Below are 19,242 nucleotides of genomic sequence, written 5' to 3' on the forward strand. Positions count from 1 at the left end.
CTTCACTAGGCATTTAATCCATTGGCACCTTGATTGTAGACTTCCCAGCCTCCAGAAATGTGAGAAATAAGTTTCTGTTGTTCATAAGCTACCCAGTCAATGGTATTTTGTTATAGCAACCCAAATGGACTAAGACACTAATGAAGCAAGGGAAAAAAACTTAAGATGGCTTTCCAAAATGTGCTATTCTTTATTTAGGAGACCAATGCTTAGGACTGGCGATCTTGAGTAGTTATATCAGTAGAGTAAGAAATCCAGTCACACAGTGAACTGTTGGCGACTGCTATCTCAAGTTCCAACATGGGTGGCTGACAAAGGAGTATGTCTTTGGGTGGGAGACAAAACTAATATGGTTGCCTTACCTGGGGCCTGGACTGAGGATGAGTAGAGAAGAGAAGGGCAAAGAAGAAAAAGACAGAGCTGTGGTGAGCTCACAGTCTGTGTTAGGCATAGAACACATTAATGTCACTCTGGGTGACATTTTATAACTAAGGCCTATGATGAAGTGATGGCTAAATGATTTGACTATAAAACACATCATATTTTCCATCAAGGCATCCAAAACAAACTAGTAGTCTAAATTTCAAAAGCAAATTTGTCGTGCAAAGACAGCATTAATTCAATTCCCGCATTTTCTCTTTTCTACCAAATTGTCACCTTTATTAACTGCTTGTGGAATTTCTGAGGTACATCCTGCCTGGACAAGGTAGATCCTGCCTGGACAAGGTAGATAATAGCCAAAGCCACATGGTAGAAAAATAGCAGAGCTCAGATGTGGGCCTGGGTTTTTGTCTCCAAAGATCATCTTGTTTGTTTGTTGAATTTGGGAGTTTGACCTTATCACAAGAACACTTTACTGTAGTGTGATAACCATTTATCCTTTTGCTCACACAGATATTTTTATAAGCCTGAAGATCTGTATTGACTAATGAGAATGATGCACTGAGCTCAAAAACTAGTATTACTTGCATGGCATTTTAAATTATATAACATGATTGCTTATAGGAAATACATCCCTTTTTATAGACTTATGATGCCTGCTGTGTCATGCAATTAAAAAGTTCCAGAAAAGCATTCTCAGTATGTCAAATTCTTGAGGCTGATTTATAGGATTACAGCTTTCCCCCTTTGTGATTCAATTAAAGCATTTTACATTGGGCTATTATAGAGTTTAAAGTCTGATCATAGTTTGGAGGCTGAACTATTAGATTAGCATGTGATCTGTTTATAAATAAACTGAATTTCTTGTTGGCAAGGGATAATAATTACAGCTGCAGTCATAAGGAATACTTACTAAAAACCTGTAAGACAGACATAGAAGATAAAAATGGGTAATACCAATATGCAATGGATTATTGGATCTTACAGATAGTTAAATATAAAAATAAAAGCCTATTGGTATATGCTTCAGATTTTAATCCAGGGACTGAATTCTTGACCAGATCAGTGATGTGAGGAAAAAAGTGTTCTGGTAAGGACCTGGGAATAGTTCAAACAAGTTATGATTACAAATTCTCTGAGATCTGAGCCCAATCTGGTATTATCTAGAAGGTCCTATTAATTATGTGTGCATATAAAAACCCCTTAATGGGAAATGAATGTTTTTTTTCCACAAAGACTGGATAATAGTTTCAGGCATCTCATAATAAGAAAAGGAAAGAGAATCAATGGTGCTACCATCTGAGTTTGGTTGGTGGCTATTTCAAGAGAAAATGCATTTTCTTTCATTTTGATGTTAGTTTTATTTTTGATTTTTGATGGCGAGGAGAATTAAACTAAATTGAATGATGTGGACTAGGCATTAAAAATAGTACCTACTCTTCATAAAAGAAAGAGGGCAAAGGCAGTCAAGCATGAAGACTAAATAAATCTTTAAATGATGCAATAAAGAAATGATAACTTAGAGATAATGTGTTTGCCATGGCCCTTAGAGATGTCAAGTTTCCACCTGTGGAGATAAATAAGAGTCCGTTTAATAGAGAAATAGAATTTTGAAGGAACAGCTGCCCAGACTACTTACAAAACCAAGAAATGAGTGATCTAGTGATAACTTAAATTTGACACTCTTCAGTCTTTGAGAATGCTATTAGGCTAAATGCATCTCCATCAGGAAAGAATATTGCCTCATTTTAGGCAGGCCCTCATTTTCTCTTGCCTAGGCTACAGTAATAGCCTTCTAACTGGTATTCAGTCTCCTCGTCTAACCACCCCTCCAATCTATTTTTTCTGTCACCAGCGTAATCTTCCAAAGGCCCCAATTTTAAGCCATTTCTATGCTTGAAAACACTTCAAAAACTCTCCTTTATCTAAGAATAAAATCCAGATGGATTATCATGGTATAAAATGCTCTCAATCATCTGGCCCTCCATTACCCCACCGGTCTCCTCACTTACCATGCTGTGCCTCATCAACTATGCTCCCACCATATTGAACTATTTTAGATTTTTTTGGGGGGCCATGATCTTTTTCACCTCAATGCCTTAGTCTCTGAAGCTGTTTCAGTCTAAATAACCCTATTGTATCTAGAATGCCCTTAGGTACTTTTCAACTATTATTTCTTAATGACTTTTCTTGTTATTTTTAATTGATCCCCTACATTTTTGCCAGATTATATTCCCCAAATCATAGAACCTATACTGCTTAACTGAACCCATTGGTTTACATGAAGGTAGGTCCATTTACCCATATTAGACCAGAAATTCCATGAAGGTAGCATTATATCGTACTTTTCTTTTGTTTGTAGTATTTATCCAAGTTACACATACTCCATGCTAATTTAAACGACTTAATTAACAAAAGTTGTAGGCAATATTTATTAACATATTTAGTTTAATTTAGCTAAAGTTGGGGAGTTTAGAAGTGTTTATACAGGTTTGGGTTTGGGTTTTCCGTCTATAGTTAGGCCTAGCTAGCAAGCTTAATACTTTCTCAAAAATGTTTTAATAACAAAAAATTTATTCTATTATGTTCTAGTGAATGGAGGCTACAGAGAGCTGATACATGTATGTGAGGGTGTTTTAGATACTGTAAAAGTTCTCATTTCATTGATATGGAAGATATTAAACCAATTGAGTCACAAATGGAGATACCACACAGCCATCAAAATGAATAGCATATAGATAGAAAAATAAAATGTTAAATGAGGGAAATACTATAATTATAGTACCAGCATATACATGGCATGCTTATATATGTATACGTGTTTGTGTGTGTGTATCTATGTCTCTCTCTCTATATGTGTATATATATATCTATACACATATATATACATGTATCTATACACATATATACATATATACATACATATGTGTATAGATATATACACACATAGAGAGACATAGATACACATATACACATCTATGTATACACATATACATCTCTCTATGTATGTGTATATATATGTATATATATGTGTGTGTGTATATATATATAGAGAGAGAGAGAGAGAGACTATCCTCCTTATTTCTGGATTTTATATTTACTAATTCACTTGGTAACATTTATTTGTAACTCTTAAATCAATACTCACAGTTATTTGTAGAAATGTGCAGAGCAACATTTGAGTCCCCTAACCTCACTCACATGTTTTCAGCATCTGCGGTCAAACAAAATAATTATCTGCCTTATTGCTTTAGCTCTCCTCCTGTAAAGAAGTATCCTTTTCACAGAATATTTAGCGTCACATCTTTCACATTTTTGAGCTTTTTCTTGGTGATGTCACAGTTTAAAATGATTCCAAGTGTAGTGCTAAAATGCTGTCTAGTGTTTCTAAGCACAAGCAGACTGTGATGTGTCTTGTATAGAGAAAATATATATATTAATAAGTTCCATTCAGCGTGAGTTATAGTGCTATTGGCCATGATTTCAATATTAATAAATTACAATATATATTACATAATGTACCTTTAAACTAAAACACTTATAAAACAAGTTTATATATTGATTGTGACCAGAGGCTTATGGAAGTCTAACTTCAAATAATGAGCATTGGTGTGTGTGTGTGTCTGTGTGTGTGTGTGTGTGTGTGTGTGTGTGTGTGTAGCATTTATATAAATTTCAGAAAACAATTTATAGCATCAATGTATACAGATCTATCTAGAAGTATTGTGGAACATTTGGATATACACTGATTAATTATATAGTTGCCTATGATAATGGGGAGGGGAAGAAAGAACTTCAATTTTAATTATAAAGTTTCTCTCATTTTACTTGAAAACAAATTGTAGCCAAAAAATTATATTAGTAATAGTTGATCTCCATTTCCACCTTCCCAGTTCCGGGTTTTGTTTTTGCTTTTTGACTTGGGTGAAAGCGCTTGTCACATGTCTTATAAGTCATTCATTTCATAATATAGAATATCTTTAGTCCGATAGTTAAGAGTATACACATTGGTTCTCCACCGCCGTTTAGCCAAATTTCCTACAGCTCTTCTGCTGGGTCCCATACTACAGGAACACCTACTGCATGTTACTCTTGTGACATACCTTGCATCTGCCCCTCCCCATGCTCATGTGTCCTCCATGTGTGATGTTCTGCCTATCAAATACTATCTGTTTTTCAAAGTTCAGAGCAATCACCTCCTCTCCCACACTCCATCTTGGTATTACAGCAAGTTTTAATTCTCATAATACATTTTTTCCCTTGTATCATCCACATTCTTTTATGAAGTTTCTTCTTTCTATAAAAGTTGAAAAGGTGCCTGAAGGCAGAAGACCATGGCTTTCCCAGTGAAATTCCTAATTTAATAGACAGTGCTTGCTGGAAACACCAACAGAAATTAAATATGTGAAAACTAAACAACATATACACATGTCATAAAGTAATTCCATTCTCAGAAGGCTAATCATTTCTATAAATTCTGAAAATTACTTGTAACAATTTTGACATAATATTTGATAATATAATGGCTTGTATTTTATATTTTGCTTTTAGTTTACAAACTACATAAACTACCTATAAGGGTAAATATCGTTAAAAACCCAAATGAAGCTAAAGATTTGCTCCTTTTGCTGCATGTGAGATAAGTTTGCTTTATTTAAACTGTTTTTTTAAGAGTCTATATTTGTCTATTTGACATTCATTTATCACCAGGTTAATGATATTAACCATATTTTTGTATCTGCCATATCCTGATGCTCTGGCATTTGGGGTTTTAACAGACCTGGAGAAAGAGACTACCTCTCCCAGGGCTAGCTTGTTCCTGAAGTTAATAACAATTTGCCCAGGAGCATAGTTTTGATTTGCAAACCAACCAATCCAGAGTCTCTACCCTCAATTGCTTCTTCATCTAATTTGCACACACCAAGCCAATATTTTTCCTGCCCTAAATTGTCCTAGGGCAAGAAACCAGTCAAAAAGAGGCCACTCCCATAGCCCGGAGCCCTCAGAATTATGCAAACTATCCAATTCTAAAATGTTCACTCTTTCCTGCCTTGTCTTTCCCTGGAAGCTCCAATAAAAGCTTGACCTAGGCTTTTCCCTCATTCCTCACCAACAGGAGTGCTGTGACTCCGCATGGTCGTGAGTGTCATAAACTTCTTTCTTCCAAGCCTTGTTCTACTTTCCTTCTGTGGCTACATTCACTTTTCCATACCAATCCAACATGTACATTCTTAGAACAGTTTCAGTAACAGGCCCTTTTTCTTACATATTCTTTCCATAAAATTCTTTTCAGCATTTTATTTCTTCCCTGAAATTCTTCATTCATCCCTTATTGACAGGTTGAGGGCCTCATCTTATTGTTGAAAAAGGTGTGGATACTACACTAAAAATGGCAATATTAACCAATCTTGCTCCCTTGTATTTTCTGCCCTATTTGCAATGGTTGCAGTTAGGCCATGCCTTGCCAGATTTCTCGCTGGTAATGTGTGAAATCTGCCTTGCAGACCTTACTTTGCCATGGGTGGCTTTTAAGATATAGATGAGAAGAAATATTAGAAATTCTTGTTCTTGGCTTACACAAAAGCTGCATTCTCCAATCCAACGTTAAAAAGATTGAGATGCCTCAAACTTGGGAGATTATCGGAAATCTAGCTAGATCATTAATGATACTGACACTATACTTTTATATTCTTATCAAACCTTAGTCTGTAGTCAATGATTAGAATCCAAACAGGACAAGAGAGGAATGTACACCTGCTGCAACAACCAACATTTAATCTTTCTTACATTAGAAACTGGTTGAAGTCTTGGCTACACAAAAAAAAATAGCCCTGAGTTCAAATTTCTGCTTTGACATTTACTAACGCTATGCCTCTATTATTCCTCAACAATGGGGATACTAACTGGACCTATTTTAAAGGTTGTGTGGATTAAATCAGACAGTTCATTTAGAATTGTGCCTTGCCTTAAATACATTTTAGCTATTATGATTATTATCCCCATTTATTGATTCCTTTAATTGCGCAGGCAATGTTCTGAGTGCTAGGAAATAAAGATTTAAACTATGCCAAATATCTTTTGTATTAAATATAGTGGAAGATATATTATGCAGAAGTCAACACATTAATTCATTAATTTCTCAAACATACATACACCTACATATATATGCACACATGTATCATATCACCCTTTAACATATAAAGAAAAATAAATTTGGGATGGGAAATAGAAAATGAAAGGTAGGGAACTAGAAGGAAATATTTAAATTGAATCATCTAGGCATATAATACAGCAAGTGCTCTAAAGCTGGAATGAATCTGAAGTATCTGAAGAACAGAAAGAAGCTCATGTAGATAGAATGTCTAGAGTGAAAAACTGAAATTAGATTGAAATGGTTGGCAGAAACCAGGTCACTTAGGAAGTTGGAAGCCTTAATACGAGGTTTATATTTATGTTAAGTACAATGAAGAACCATTAGAAGGTTATAAGCAAGGAACTGGTATGACCTGATCGAGCTTTTGAAAAAATATGCTACTGTCTGAGAATAGCCCTTAGGAAGACAGAGTGGATGCACGACAAATTAGGAGGTTTTGGCAAGTTCAGATGAGTGGTGACAGAGGCTTGGGCTAAGAAGTTAAGAGTAAAGATGAACAAAATGCTGGATGTACTGAAGGAGAAAAAATACTTGCTTAAGAGTATAAACTTGATGCAAAATTTTAGGGAGTTATCTCCTCCATTTTCTCTATCATATATGCTATTGGCTCCCTATTGTATTCTAGGCTACTGGAGAAATTTCAAATATTATTGGGTCTGATGGGATATATGTGTGTGGAGTAAGAAAGCCACTTAGAGTGTAGCTGCAAATGCCTACAGAAGTGTCACTTGCTTTGAACTCTGAAAGCTGACAGATGTGAACTGGGGTACATGTGATCCAAAGAGTACACTATATTTGGTGTACTTGGTAAGAGGTACACTGTGTTACCAAGGGACATACGGGTATGGACAAGATAATTAATTTCTTTCTCATCAAGTCCATGCGACTCTTCTAAGACATGGATGTGCCTGAAAATGCATCTTCTGTTTAGAAATCAAGCAGTTCTCCCTTCCTACCTCCCCAGCCATACTATTAATGAGACCACTTATTCCACATTATAAAACAAAGGCATACCTCTCACTTTTCCTAGGGACACTAAACACAGAAGCAATTTAAAATATCCATATCTTGGAAATATGTTTTAATCAAGCTACCAGAAACCTATAGAATATTTTCCTGTACAGGTATCTGCTGAAATCCAAGTATAGCATCATAAGTGGCATAATTTTGCATGCTTTGCTATTTTCTGAATTTGCACACAGAATGTGGTATTAAGAACAATGACGGTTTCTCTTTAACAACCTCAAGTCTCCTTTCCACAAACCAAGATAAAAATAAATAAATCTTTTCTGGGGGAGAACACTGTGAAATCAAAATAAATAAAGCATTGTTAAGACATATTAAAGGTAACATTTCACTGTCAAACGCAATTCTGTACCCGTCTTCTTTTCTTTCTTGCTTCCCTGCCTTTGCCTACCCTCTCGTCTGTCTTCTCCCTCTTTCTACTCCTCTTCGTGTTTCTTTTCTTTTTTTTCTTCTTCAATCCCCGATCTCTGTTTCTGTAAAGTTTTCCAACTAATACATTTAATGCATTTAGTAATATAAAAACAATTAATTAAAATATTTGTTGAAAGGAATGTTTTTAATTTAACAATTCAAAATTTTTCAATTCCTTCTGACTATATCAGGTTGAAATAAAGTGCTTCTCAGTAAGAGTGTTATTATCAATAGTCATTTTGTAAGTTTTGGAAAAGCCTTTTTTTATATCTCTCCAAAATTTAGAAAATGAGTTCTTGCTATGACTATGCTTTTTAAAAATATCTTTTTGCAAGCAGTGGGGTTTCTAATTTTTTGCTGTTAACAAAATTGAAGAAGGACATAATTCAATTGCTTGCTGATAGATAATTAAGAATAATTTTTGATAACATAGCAGTGTTTTATCTTTCTGTTTTGGGGAATTTATACTTTAGAAGGGCTTTAAAAAATTGATTGACATACAATTAGAACATTCTGTTCATTCCAAGATACTCACCCATATGAACAATGTTTCTCTGTACAAACAAAAATTGTAAAATTAGTTTTGAGCCCTGTCTCATTTTTGCACTAAGCACTCTTCTTCCCCAGATACCTAAACACATTGAGAAGAAAATTTATCTCAGTAAAGAAATGTATCGAGATAAATTTCAAATAAAATTATACATTATATGTTAAATAATTTCTGAAGTTCTTCATATGTGTGTAATTGTGTTCAATTGTTTATTAATTATAGTTGTTATAATGACTCAATATATAGTAGGAGGAATTAATGTATACATATATAATCACAATAATTTTTTATTAATAAAATATTTTTGTAGCAGAGAACTGTGGGAGTATAATCAGTAAAATCAATCAAGGATAAAAGATATATTAGCAATCAATCCTTAGAATAAGTAGAATGCAAATATAAGTTCAAGGAGGATAAGGGGAGATGTAAAATTGATGGTTGCTAAAGGGAAATGTTTTTCATGATTTTTTTTTTTTTTTTTTAGATGGAGTCTCTCTCTGTCACCCAGGCTGGAGTGCAGTGGTGCAATCTCGACTCACTGCAACCTTTGCCTCCCAGCTTCAAGCAATCCTCCCACCACAGCTGGGATTACAAGCATGCACCACCAAGTAGCTGGGATTACAAGCATGCACCACCACACCTGGCTAAATTTTGTATTTATTATTATTATTATTATTATTATTATTATTATTATTATTATTATTATTATTTTATTTTTAGTAGAGACAGAGTTTTATCATGTTGTCCAGACTGGTCTTGAACTCGGACCTCAAGTGATTCTCCTGCCTCAGCCTTCCAAAGTGTTGGGATTACGGGCGTGAGCCACCTTGCCCAGCCCATGATTTTTTGTAAGTGGCCAATCATGCGTATCAAGTCACTGTAGTATTTAGATTCCATGGGCTGCATTAAAAAAGAATTCTGTACTCTGTTTCTATGAGGCAGACTTTTTAGAGTCCACACATATGTGAAATCATATGGTATTTTTCTGTGCCTGGCTTATTTCACTTAGCAATGTGTCCTTCAGTTCTAGCCATGTTGTTGTGAAGGACAGAATCTCCTTCTTTTTAAAGAAGCACTGTATGGTACTCTCTTTTATATAAATGCCACATTTTCTTTATCCATTCATTCATTGCTGGACACTTAGATTGCTTCCATGTCTTGCTATTGTACATAATGCTGAAATGAACATGGGAGTGCAGATATCTCTTTAACATACCAGTTTCAATTTCTTTAGATGTATACCTACAACTGGGACTACTGGATTACACTGTAATTCTATCTTCAGTTTCTAAGGAACCTGCATGCTATTTTTATTTTTGGAATTTTAAAAAATCCATATCATAGAAACAAACAGTAGAAAGGTGGTTATCAGAAGCTGTGGGATAGGGGGAGGGATTGGTAAAGGAAAATGTGTTGATCAAAGTGTATCAATTCTCAGTTACACTAAAAGAATAAGTTGTAGTGATTTATTCACCGCATGGTAACCAGAGTTAATAATAATGTATTACATATTTCAAAATTGCTAATAGAATACATTTTTAATAGTCTCACCACAAACAAAATAATAAATTGTTAAGGTGATGTATATTTTTATTAGCTTGACTGAATCTTCCTACAATGTATACATAGATCAAAACATCATATTTAACCCTTAAATATACACAATTATTATCTGTCAATTATAAAGAAATAAAAAATAACAGTAAAAGAATTATATAAGTTTTTTTTGAAATGACAATATCTATAATTCACTAGGAATTGCATCCTTTGCAACTTTTCAAGCTCATGATGAAAATATTTAAATTTGTCAGGGTAAACAAGCAGAATCTTTTTGATACAAAATATTTTTAATAAGTATGTTTACATACTTATATTTATAAAATTATATATAAATATGATTGTTGATATACATAAATATATTTATATATATATACATAAATGTATATTTAACCCCATAATCACTGATCTATTCTGCCTCCAAAATCCAAAGAATTCCATGTAGGTACTCCACCCCTTTCTTAGTGAAAGGAGGTGCAAAGTACAATATCTGTTTTAAGGCATATATCCTTCACTTTAAAGGATATATCCTGTTATGTTGAAGAACACTGGATTTGCAGACAACTTCCTTAGTTAGCATGTTTTCCAAAGACATATATTCTAGTTATCTGATACATATATCTTACTAAGAAATCTATGGTGTCTGCTACTTACTACTCTCTAGATTTTCACATGATAGTTTTAATATAGTAGAATAAAGTCCTTCTTGGCAGTGATGAAATTAGTCAAAGTCCCTGTTGTTTCAGTTGAGATAGAAAAGGAAGACAGTTGATACAACCTTCAGTCATGATTTTAACAGTATCCTACTGCTCTGCCTAGGTGAAAATAAACTCTAAAATTTGAAGAGGAATTCATTTGCCAGATCGACAATTTCATATTATGTGCTAAGGTCTTTATTAATTTGCTCCATTAGAGTGTTCATATATGGAACACTCATTTCAATTGAAGTCACCACCTGAATAAGTTATCCATAATCCTTTTATTCTGAAGAACTGTCAATCATATGCACTGGAAAAACTCAGAAAGTAAATAGGAATTTATTCAGAATTGCCACCTCTGTATCATTCAAAGTTTTGAAAGATATCTTTGCAATTTCATCAAGGGTGAAATATTTCTTTTTTTTTTTTTTTTTACTGCTATTGAGAGAAAATCCAACGACTTCAACTTGCCATCATTACTATCTTAACCCTTAAGTAATTTCATGGAGCTAGGTTTCTGCCAGTTGCTGAGGCTCTTTCTTGTCTCTATACACACAAGAACTGGAGAAGTGATCACCAAGGTTGGTTGGAGTCCCTCTGAGCCTATCATTAGGTAAGTGCAAGTGAGAACTTCATTTATCACCAAGTCCCTCTTGAACTCCCATTCTGACTGATACATTTCCACTTCTAAGATTCAAATGGTACAAAACTTTGTGTTAATTATTATTTTTTCAGTGGCATTACCAAGCCAATAGCCACAGGGGTCTGAAAGGCTATAAGTTTTGCTTTAACTTAGGTCTAGAAATTAGGGAGAAGAGCCTGACTCTGTATCCCAGCGACCAAGTCAGTCACTTGTTCTCTGAACATCCTTAGCACAGCCAGTAAGGGGAGTACTCTCTGAAATAAACACAGTTGATTTTTTTCTCTCCTTTATCATCTTTAAAATGCCCTCATTATAAGTCCAATTTTTAATCTTCTAAAAAAATCCCTCTATGATGAAGAGTTTTATTTTTAACATAAATATGTCTCAATTATTATCTCAGAATTGCATCTCACTTACATTTGATGCTGTCTTGCATCCACATGCTCATACTACCTTTATTCTAAACATGGTCCTCTGTAGCCAGGTAATTGGTTTCTGGTCTTTAGTGATAAGTAATTATGAGAAGTTTTCTTCAGCAAAGATCCCTGGGGCTGATAATAATTGTCTAGCTGACATAATTAAATCATTTCTGACAATTCAACAAGTCTTATTCTTGTTTAGGTGAAAGGTGTTTGGGATTAATATTCTTACTTTTGACATCTTCAAAATAGGAGAAAAAAAATCAACCAACAGGAGTTCACATATATGAAGTGTGATCTAATTCCTTAGCAATTAGGCAAGATTTAGAAATTATTTTTGTATTTCTATCTAATTTAAGATGGCTAGCAGTTAAACAATACATTTATTAATCCTCTTCAACAATATTGCATTCCAATTACAGAATAAATCTACAAATAAGGTGAACCCATGACTGTGCTACCAAATCCCGATGGATCCCATCAACAAACTGAAAATGGTACCGAATTTCTTGAAGATGAGATGAAAATACAACCAAAGACCATGACTGAACACTTTAAATCCTACTCAGATTAAGGAATAGACTATTGAAAAAGAGTGGGTTGTTTTGCAGAGGAATCTAAGCATAATTCATGATGTAAGGAAATGGAGCAAAGGAGAAGCCAGCTATGGTGTAGTCAGTAGAGAAATTAACTAAAGAGATAGAAACAGTTGCAGAAGTTCCCCATTCTCAGAATAAACCCTCCTTCTCTCACTGTTTACCCCCAGGATAAAATCACAAGTTCAGCCAGTCAATTAATAAAATAAACTGAAACAGTATTCCAAGACACCTAAGATACCAAAAAGGATGCAGGTCCATGCACAGAGAAGGCAATCTACCTGCAGTTGTACAAACGCAACTGACAGCCTGCATGTTTATCGCACCTTGAGGTTTGACAGTTTAGTACTTTTGTGGATGCTGTGAGCTGTCTTTTGTGTGTGTGTATGTGCTTATGTGTCAGTGTTATTTTTTGTTGCTTGAAATTTTGAGAACAGATGCTCAGGGATATGTATGTATGTGGAATTGGTTATTGGGTTGACATGAGACAGGAGTGATAAGACAACTTCTCCTGTCAATCCAGATTCCCACATGGAAAATTAGCAGCAGAAACAATAGGAAAATGATTTAACTGATTGCATAGTTAGCTGGATCCATGTGCATAATTAGCTGGATCCATGTGAGGAATATACAGAAATGGTTTCTGTGAAATGCTAAATTTTAATTTGATTTTACAGGACAAGTCTGCTATGTTGCCTGTATACTTTAAGGCATTCATCAGCAAAGACTGAGAGTCTACCAATTGGAAGGAGGCTATCTGGAAGGACTGATAAAGCTAAGCAAGCCAATAAATGGCCCAGCAATCCTACTGCTGAGTATATACCTCAAAGAAAGGAAATCAGTATATGGAAAAGTTATGTGCACTCCTATGTTTGTTGCAGCATTGTTCACAATAGCTAAGATTTGGAAGCAACCTAGGTGTTCATCAGCAGATGAATGGATAAAGAAAATATGGTACATATACACAATGGAGTACTAGTCCACCATGAAAAAGAATGAGATCCAGTCATTTGCAACTTGGATAGAACAGGAGATCATTATGTTGAATAAAACAAGCCTGGTACATAAAGACAAACAGCACATATTCTCACTTATTTGTGGGATCTAAAAATCAAATCAATTGAACTCATAGAGAGTAGAGGATGATTATGAGAGGTTGGGAAGGGTAGTGTGGGGTTGGTGGGGAGGTGGGAATGGTTAATGGGTACAAAAAAATAAAAAGAATGAATAAGACCGACTATTTGAGAGCACAACAAGGTGACTATAGTCAATAATAACAAAATTGTATATTTTAAAATAAAGAAGGTAATTTGATTGTTTGTAACTCAAAGGACAAATGCTTGAGTGGCTGGATACTGCATTCTCCATGATGTGCCTATTTCACATTGCATGCCTGTATCACAACATTTCGTGTACCCCAAAATACATACACCTACTATGTACCCACAAAAATGTTTAAAAATAAAAACATAATTAAAACAAGCAAACAACAACAACAACAAAAACCAACCACATTGAAACACTACCCACCCCTAGTAGAAGAGACAAGACAATTGTTTCCATATGCTATTCCTCATCGTTTCTCAATAGGTAATTGTAATTGGAACACAATATGGCCTGAATGGTGTTGTAAAAAGACATTAGTGCAGGAGAAGAAATTGCATTTAGAATTAACCAGTGGAATTTGGCAATTCATTCTATCAACAATTTGGGTTAAATATGTGGGAACTGATTTTCTGGGTACAAGTCAAACAAGGAGAAAGGAAAGTAATGGGGGTTGGGCTAAATTGCCGCATGCTTGTCAGTAATCAAGACACTTTTTGAATTTGCTAACACAATCAGAACCAATGACCCTGTTAGGAGACATTAAATTACCAGAAAGCCTTTGAGTGATACAAGGTAAGGGATTCAACAACTACAGATAATCGCAGTGCTAGATTCCATGTCAGAATACTCAGCATCTCACCATGGCCTATGAGCCATTCCACACCCTTCTTTCTCTTTAGATGGGTAAAACAATTGACCAAAATCTTTTAAGTAGAGCCCTCCTGGTTGTCCTCTGTAAGCTCTTTCTTCATTCATAGACATTTCATAAGCAATGTCTATGAAAGGCTTGTGATTTCTGATCTCAGTTTGGGTGGAATGAGTCTGCGATTTTGTCCCCAAGTGGGGCAGTTAGATGTAATTAACAAGGTGAACGTAGTCACTGTAAAAAATAGCAATATGGACATGATAGGCAGTGTTGAGGGAATGGTTTAGTATCAACAGTTTTCTCTTCTTAACCAGTCAGTCACTCTGCAAAAAGAAAGTCAACAAATCACAAGAAAGCACTATTATTACTGGCTATGATGACAATGTTTTTTTGTATGTGTGGGGGGGCACAAAGCATGAAAGACAGTGAAAACTAGAGACTGAGAATAAACAATTCAAGAAGTTTCAGTGTGAATGAGGAGGAAGAATTAGGATAATGACTGCAGGAAGACATGTTGACCAGGAAGGGTTTTAAATTTTCATGTGAAAGAGGATAAATTATCTGAAAACACTAAAGATCTCTTGGTTTGCCTTGATGAACAGAGACCCACAAATTTTGGAAAGAATTATAAAACATCTAAATGATAAACTCTTGGTAAAGTGAATGGTATCTCCATCAACTGGCATAAGTTTCCCCAAAACAGGTCTAACTCTCTTCAGGTCTTTTGGAAAGTTCTACCAGATCAAAGTTGTAGTGTCCAATTGATGGCAGTGGCTGCTGCCATCACGATGGCCACAGCCCAGAGGTGCGGCTGGGGCTGCACACTACATGGAGCGGGTGGGAGCCCCGCCCCTTCTGAATTGGGGCAGGAGCTCCATGGGTGCCGCTGCAGCCCCCAAAACTGTGGCTGCAGATCCTGCTCTACAGAGCAAGCAGGAGCCATGCTCTCCTGGGTGGGGCTACAGCTGCCCAAACTGCAGCTATGGATCCCAGCCTCCCTGTGCTCTTGACGGGGCCTGGAGCAGGCAGGATCTGCCCTTCTGGGTGTAGCTGCAGCTGCCACTGCCCCATCCACAGCTACAGACCTGGGCCTCCCACTCCACCAAGCAGGCAAGAGCCAGGGACATGCAGGAGCCCCACCCCTTCTGAGTTGGTGGGGCGGGAGCTCCCCCAGATCCAGCTGCAGCCATTCTCCCAGGCACAGGACCTGGGCATCTCTGCAGCCTGCACCCTTGGGGGCCCAGGAAGGCCCCCCAATTCCCAGCTGGCTCAGGGGTGTCTGCTCTCACTGCCTCTCTCCTCTTCTGGCCCTGGCTCAGATTTTGGAGCGGGGGGAGCCCCAGGGCCTTGAATGGCAGTTGGAAGCAGAATCCTGGGCTCACAGGGGTGGTCCAGGGAAGGCCTGAAGGCTGGAGGTAATGCTGCCAGTCCCATGGACTGGAGTGGGGACTCGCCATGCCTCTTCTGGGGGCCCATGGCCACCCATGGACCAATCTGCATGCCCTTCCTCCCTGCTGAGGTCCATGAAAGCCCCAGGCTCAGCCAGAGCAGGGCAGAGGGCAGAGGATGAACAGAGGACTGGAGGACATGCTGCAGAGAGGAGCTACCCTCTCTGCTGAGAGCTTCAGGGACCTGCAGAGATAATTTGAACAACCTGCCTGTGGAGAGGAGCCCTGTCTCCAGGGCCACCTCTCTGCTGAGAGCTGAACATTCCACAAGAGGACCTGCCTACAGAGAGGCAGGTGGGAACATTCCACAAGAGGACCTGCCTACAGAGAGGCAGGTGGGAACATTCCACAAGAGGACCTGCCTATAGAGAGGCAGGTGGGAACATTCCTCAAGAGGACCTGCCTACAGAGAGGCAGCTGGGAACATTCCACAAGAGGACGTTCCACAAGAGAGGCAGGAAACCCACTGTGGGTTTCCTCTGAGCTGTTGTAACACTCAATAAAACTTCTCTTCATCTTGTTTACCTTCCACTTGTCTGTATCCCTCATTCTTTCTGGATGTAAGACAAGAACTTGGGCAAAAGTGCCACTGGCCAGAGAGTTTTCTGGCCAGAAAAGCAACACCCTAAAGATCCTGTAACACAATGTCACTGGCATAGTTAAAAACATACTAGGGAAATCATACTTACTGAACACCAACTACGCACCAAGTCCATGTTAGGCACTGTCATATTACTAAAGAATGTATTTTGCATTGCCAATGACCTTGCATTAGATGCCCTCTAGAGTTTCTTCAACATTTAATATTTTGTGATTTTCCTAGTTACAAGTAGGCTGGTATGTCTGTCACAAAACTGTATTTTAAAACTGTGCTAAAATGAAATTAGCCACAGCCATTAACTAATTAATCATTATTGTCAGAACATAGGTTCACCCAAGAACACTGCACTGCCTACACATTTATCTAGAGTATGCATTTCTTTTTAATAAAATAAAGTTTAAGCAATAGTTCAAAGCTTCAAGTTGAGGAAAAACAAATGTGTGATTAAGCTACTACATTGGTTCTTAGTTCCTCACTGGTTCCCTATGATCCTTCTATTTTATTTCCCTCATTGGTTCCCTATGATTCTTCTATTTGATTTTTAATACAACTCACGTTTAAATTGCTGTATTTTAAACCTCAAAAGCATGACTCTTTGCATTTTTAAAATTCCTATTCAAGGTTACAGTTGTAAAACTATTTGCCTCTAATTGATGTCCATACAATGACATGGGGGCCAGAGAGGAGCTGAAAGGGTTAGAAAGAAGACAACTAATATGACTTTGCTAAGTTATTAATATATGATCATTCTTCATAAAGTCTTACTACTTTTTTCTAAGAATTACATTAGAAGGCAATATCCCCATATTCTCAATTAATGGTCTGTTTGCCATAACAATGAAGCAATGAAACTTCAACTGTAAGTTGATGTCAACCACTGGAATGGGTCCTCTCCTCTATCAGCTGCCGATCTCTGGTGAGGAACTCATGTGAGGAGCATGGAAGGGAATGTTAAGAGAGAGCAACAGCCAGAGCATTGGTTTTCTTTGCTGTCATACACGGCAATGAAAAAATACTTTTAGATGAAATTCATGTTATCTCTCAAGCATTAAGAAGTTTGCATGGGTTGTAATTACATCAGTGAAGTTATATTTTCTTAATACTTCCAGTTAATCTAATTACTCTCTCTCTCTCTCTCTCTGTGTGTGTGTGTGTGTGTGTGTGTGCATTGAATGGTTTAAATTTGAAAAGGTGATCATAGTAATAAATATTTAATAATACATGAAAATGTGCAGCTACAGTGATTTACAAGAATATTTTTTAAGTTGACTGTGATTGATAAGTTATTTTTACAAAATGGTTGAGTTGCAGTAATGGGAAATATTAAGCAATGGAACACTAAATATTGTTAAGACAAATCATATTTTAAAATAGAGAACTATACCTACATCAGTGCCAAGTTCTAGGCTTGTGGCTTTATATTTATGCTCTCTACTATAAACCTCACAACAACCTTGGGAAGTTAGTAATGGCATTATTTTTTATAAGATGAATTTTCTGAGACTCTGATTATTTTAACATTGTTTTTCAATATTATTTGCCTAGTAAAGTGGACCCTGATTTGAATCTTGCACTGATCAGCTCCAAAGTTCTAAGTTTTCTAATTTTCAAGGCTGTTGATACTTGTACTTTGCCAGGACTGGGAGGAATATATACACAGTGTTTTAAGAAGGAAATCTACCATTCCACTAGGTCTTATTCATTGCTGATGTCAATGCTTTTTTTTTAAATTCCTTTTAGTAATTTATAAGATAACAAAGGCATGAATCTGTTTATCAAAATTATTTACCTGAGATACGTAAACTAAATGATGTGTAAGTATAGACTGCTTATTCCTGAGTGGCATAACTGACCTCAGTTCTTAACTTCATTAGGTTGTACCGGCTTGTTCTTAGTAATTTTGAGAACTGCTCACTCCTATGATCTGTTTCTGATATTATAATAGTATAATAATCAACATTTATGGTTTCTTTACTATGCCAGGCATTGTTTTAAGTTCTTTGTGGGTATTAATTTATTTAATCTTTATACTAACTCTATAGCTTGAGGTGAATGAAGTTCATCTATAAAACACCATGTGCAGAATCTTAATTTTGCTCTATTCTCTGACTTCTTCAACCTTGGTGTATGGAGCAGTGCTTAAGTACTAATTGTACTATTGTGAATAATTGGAGTGGGATACCATTTATTATTTTACTTTAGATACATCAAGTATGCATTAGTTTGGATGAAGAACACATAGAATATAAAGGACATAGACACGTATTTACTCACCACTAGTGATAGTCATCATTTTTGTTATTAGTTTATAATCCCTCTTTTTATAAGAAACAGTGTTAACATAGAGCCAAACCTCATTTCCCTAATCAAGTTTTCAGTTTTTCTTCCCTAGAGATAGCTGCTACTCTGATATTGGCATACATCATTCATATATATTTTTATGCTTTTATTACAAATGTTTGTGCATAAATAGTACATACTTTCTTGTGTACTTTAAAACATTATATAAATGATATCATGCTATTACAATCATTTTTTCAATTTGCATTTTTACTAGAATTGTATTTCTTAATTTTCCCATGCTTTTACAAGAGTCAACATTTTTTTATTGCTGAAGTGTTCTATTATAAATCAATCATGGTATATTTATCCATTCCCTTACTGAAAAAGTTGTATCTTCAACAGCATCTTGCTTTCAAACAGCGCTGCAATAAATATCCTTGGACACATGCTTAAAAATGTCTTTAGGGAAAGCAGAAAGAAATAGAATTGCTTGGTCCTAGGAT

This window comes from Homo sapiens, chromosome 17 (genome assembly GCF_000001405.40).
Source record: "Homo sapiens chromosome 17, GRCh38.p14 Primary Assembly".
NCBI classification, from domain to species: domain Eukaryota; kingdom Metazoa; phylum Chordata; class Mammalia; order Primates; family Hominidae; genus Homo; species Homo sapiens.